The sequence below is a fragment of the Homo sapiens genome, chromosome 8 (assembly GCF_000001405.40).
Source record: "Homo sapiens chromosome 8, GRCh38.p14 Primary Assembly".
NCBI lineage: Eukaryota > Metazoa > Chordata > Mammalia > Primates > Hominidae > Homo > Homo sapiens.
In genome coordinates, this window is record NC_000008.11 from 2,021,173 (window position 1) to 2,024,521 (window position 3,349).

General features: G+C 57.3%; 1 annotated feature.

Annotated features, from left to right (window-relative positions):
* Positions 260–1,249: an enhancer, noted in NCBI's record as "H3K27ac-H3K4me1 hESC enhancer chr8:1969593-1970582 (GRCh37/hg19 assembly coordinates)". NCBI's record gives its function as "activates a minimal SCP1, AML or CMV promoter by ChIP-STARR-seq in naive H9 embryonic stem cells {active_cell/tissue: H9 hESC(naive)}" and the evidence as "EXISTENCE:reporter gene assay evidence [ECO:0000049][PMID:30033119]".

Consider the following 3,349-nt stretch of genomic DNA (forward strand, 5'->3'; position numbering starts at 1 on the left):
TGCCCATTGTCTTCCCCTGTGTGTAGAAGGGATGGGGACCAGGGATTGAGGACAACAGCCCATTCTCTGCACCGTCCAGACCTTGGAACCCGCTCCCTGTCTCCCCCGTGGCACTCAGGGAACACATCGGAGAAACTCTTGGTGGCCTCTGCTGTTTAAAGAGGTCATCGCAGTGAAGAAAAGAACATGAAGTTGTTAATTCCTTATGCTTTTTGTTAACTATTCCAGGATTTCCTTTGAAGTTCCTTTCTGTGTTCTTTTGAAAAGGTCAAGCTATGGGGCTGAGTGATTTGTAGCTGGAGTTGTGGACTCGTTCTGTGACCCTGGACCCTTAGGCATGGCTGGGCCTTCTGCCTCACTCTGTCTATCTGACTCCTCTGTCTAGTTAAATGGCTAATCATTCTCGTGGCACAATGCAAACGCTCCCCCGTTTGTCGTTTGGGTTGAACACATCAGATATTTGGATTCTGGGTACGGCTGGATAATATCAAAGCGTTTCTGGAGGTAATTCTTTCAGTCAGCACTGAGCTCTGGGTGTACAGCGGGGCAGAGATGAATCAGCACCCAGCTCCAGCTGTGCAGCCGGGCAGAGATGAATCAGCACCCAGCTCCAGCTGTGCAGCCGGGCAGAGATGAATCAGCACCCAGCTCCAGCTGTGCAGCCGGGCAGAGATGAATGAGATGCAGTCGTGGCTCATCCCACTGTCGGGGCGGCCGGGAACTGAAAACGACCCCATCCAGTGAGGCCCGGCAGGCATGGGCTGCTGGCGAGGGTGGCACCAGAGTTTGGGATGGAGCCGAGTTGAGGGGACCTAGGGAAGGCATCCTGGAGGAGGAGGCCAAGCCGAGAGAGCCTGGGATGCCAGGGGCTGTGAGCAGGGACCAGCCTGGCAGGGGTGAGGAGCATGGCTGAGGCTGGGGACCTGGAGTGGGCATCTCTGGAGATGCCAGGTGGGCTGAGAGGGAGGAAGGACAGTGAGGCCCAGTGAGACTCACCTAGCGTGTGCTGCACTGTGTGTGAAGCCACCAGACTTGGAAGGACCATCGCCAGCTGGGCCAGAGCACTAGGGACCTACTCAATGCCATGAATGTGTCAGGGTGGGTAGAACCAGGGCTACCTCTAGGCAACAATGCACCACGTCCTAGTACCCACAGCCAGGGGATCAGGGCCTGGGTAGCACTCGCCCAATTGACATGCGTGAGCTCTGTGCTCCTTCACCCGACATGCGCGGGCTCCGTGCTCCTGCACCTGGTGTCCATGGGCTCTGTACTCCTGCTGAGGCAGTGCTGGGCGTCGGCACTGATCATGGCCAAGGTTGGAGGAGGCATCTCGTGGGAGGCCTGCAGGTCCCAGGAGGGTGGAATCAAGGCAGCCAGCCTGAGCCCAGGGTGGAGGCTCTGCCTTCCCAACGGGGGCAGGACCCAGAAGAAGAGTGAGGCCACAGAGGCAGATCCTGGCCAGGCCCCTGGAAGACAGCAATGTGCTGAGAACCTTCCTTGAGAAAGAGTGGAGGCCCCGGTGACCACAGCATCATGACTGCTGAGGGACAGGACCAGAGAGTCTTCTTCCTAATTGCTCCCCTCTCCCTTTCTCCATTTCCCCATAAACCCTTGAAACAGAGGAGCCTGTGCGTGTGCTTGCCCTTGGGGCAGCCAAGAAGTGGCAGCAGAGAGGCCTGCCTTCCACAAGGCACAGCAGCAGGGACCACGAGTGACCTGGGAACACTGGCCCCAGCCTCCCTGCCTCCCTCTGTCTGCCCCGGCCTCCGCACCCAACAGTTGTGAGATGTCGGTGTTTCTGTTGCTAGGCATTCCTGTTGCTGCGCAGCAGCCGGGGCTGGGACAAAGGACTCGCTCTTCTAATGTTTAAAGCGCAAAGCGAACCACGTGTGGGCCCAGCCGGCCCTCAGGAGGAGCTCCGCGGCTCCTCCCATCTGACAACTCCCCCGACCTGCTGGGCACTGAAGCCTCTGCTGCGGGGGTTGCCGGTGCCACTTCCCCTCTCCACAGCCGTGCGGTGCCCAGCTTAGCTCACGTTCACAGTTCTTTCAGCAGATGTAGCCGTGGACAGCAGCCTGGTTACAGTGGGATGTGCAGCTGGCCGACCCCCTCTAGCCATCCTGCAAGTCACTGTGAACGCCCTCACGCTCCAACAGCAAAGCCACTGCTCAGAAAGAGGCTGGGCTCCTGCACACCTGCCAGCGATGGCTACCCGTGTCCATCCTGTTCACTGAAGGGGAGCGGCTCCTGGAGGGTGAAGCCGCTGTGGTTTGAGGGTGAAGCCACTGTCGTTTGAGCCCTCGGCCCGGACGCAGCTGATGCACCAGCCACAGAAGCACGGAGGAGTCAAGAATGGGAAGGACAGAAACGGTTCCTGACCTCGGGAGCTGGAGGTTGAGTGGGTTGGTCTAAAAACCAACTGAATAGTAAATGGGTGAATTAGCATAATGACGAATGCATATCGATCAGTGTTTCAGAAAACTGCATGCTTTTCATCACCAGTTTTGATTGATGACGAGGTTATGTAAGCAATTACTCAGAATGATCACAAGTCGTGATTATGCTAGGAAGGGGAGCGTGAAGGGTGCCGTGCTTGAGACTGGATGGGACGCGGCCCGGGGAGAGGAGGCTCTGGGGGCTTTGAGAAGCGACGGGGCCATAGGGCGGAGCGGGCCTGGGCTGCAGGGGAGGAAGCAGCAGGGGCCTCGGGCCCGCGGGAGCTGGGCAGGGATGGAGGCTCTGCAGGGAGGAGGAGGGAGGCTTGCGGCCTTCCCAGGGCCACGGGCCAGGAGGGGGAGGCGGCCGGGCTGGGTCAGAGCCGAGGAGAGGGCGGCATCGGGAGCTGTTCTCAGAGGGGCCGAGTGACAGGAGGCCGTTTCTGGGTCTGGGTTCTCACCGTAAAAGAAGACGGTAGAACACAGTTCTCAACACGGGCCTCCTGCTCGGAGGTGATGTGATTCAGACCGCGGCTCCAGGGTCTCCAAAATTTCCGCGTAACCAGGAACCGCAGGTCGAAGGCCAGTACCGCATCCAACACCGCCATCTGCTGGTGAGCGGGAAACATGACGCCTCGGGGCCAAATGGGAAGAGCACGTTCAGGATATTGGATTAGAGAAATATCAAACTACTTTAAATTCCATCACAGCTGTCAAAACCAAACTGGGGATGTAAAGAATTTTTCAGCTCATTGTATTCTATTTACATTGCGCACACACAATAAATGCTTGCTAGAGCACTGAAGTGCATTTTTATTTTCAAACATAATGCATGTCATATGATGAAGGAAATCATTTCGCGATCGTGTTAATCATAGGACACCCTGCAGGCCCCCCTTCATGTGAGCCTACCG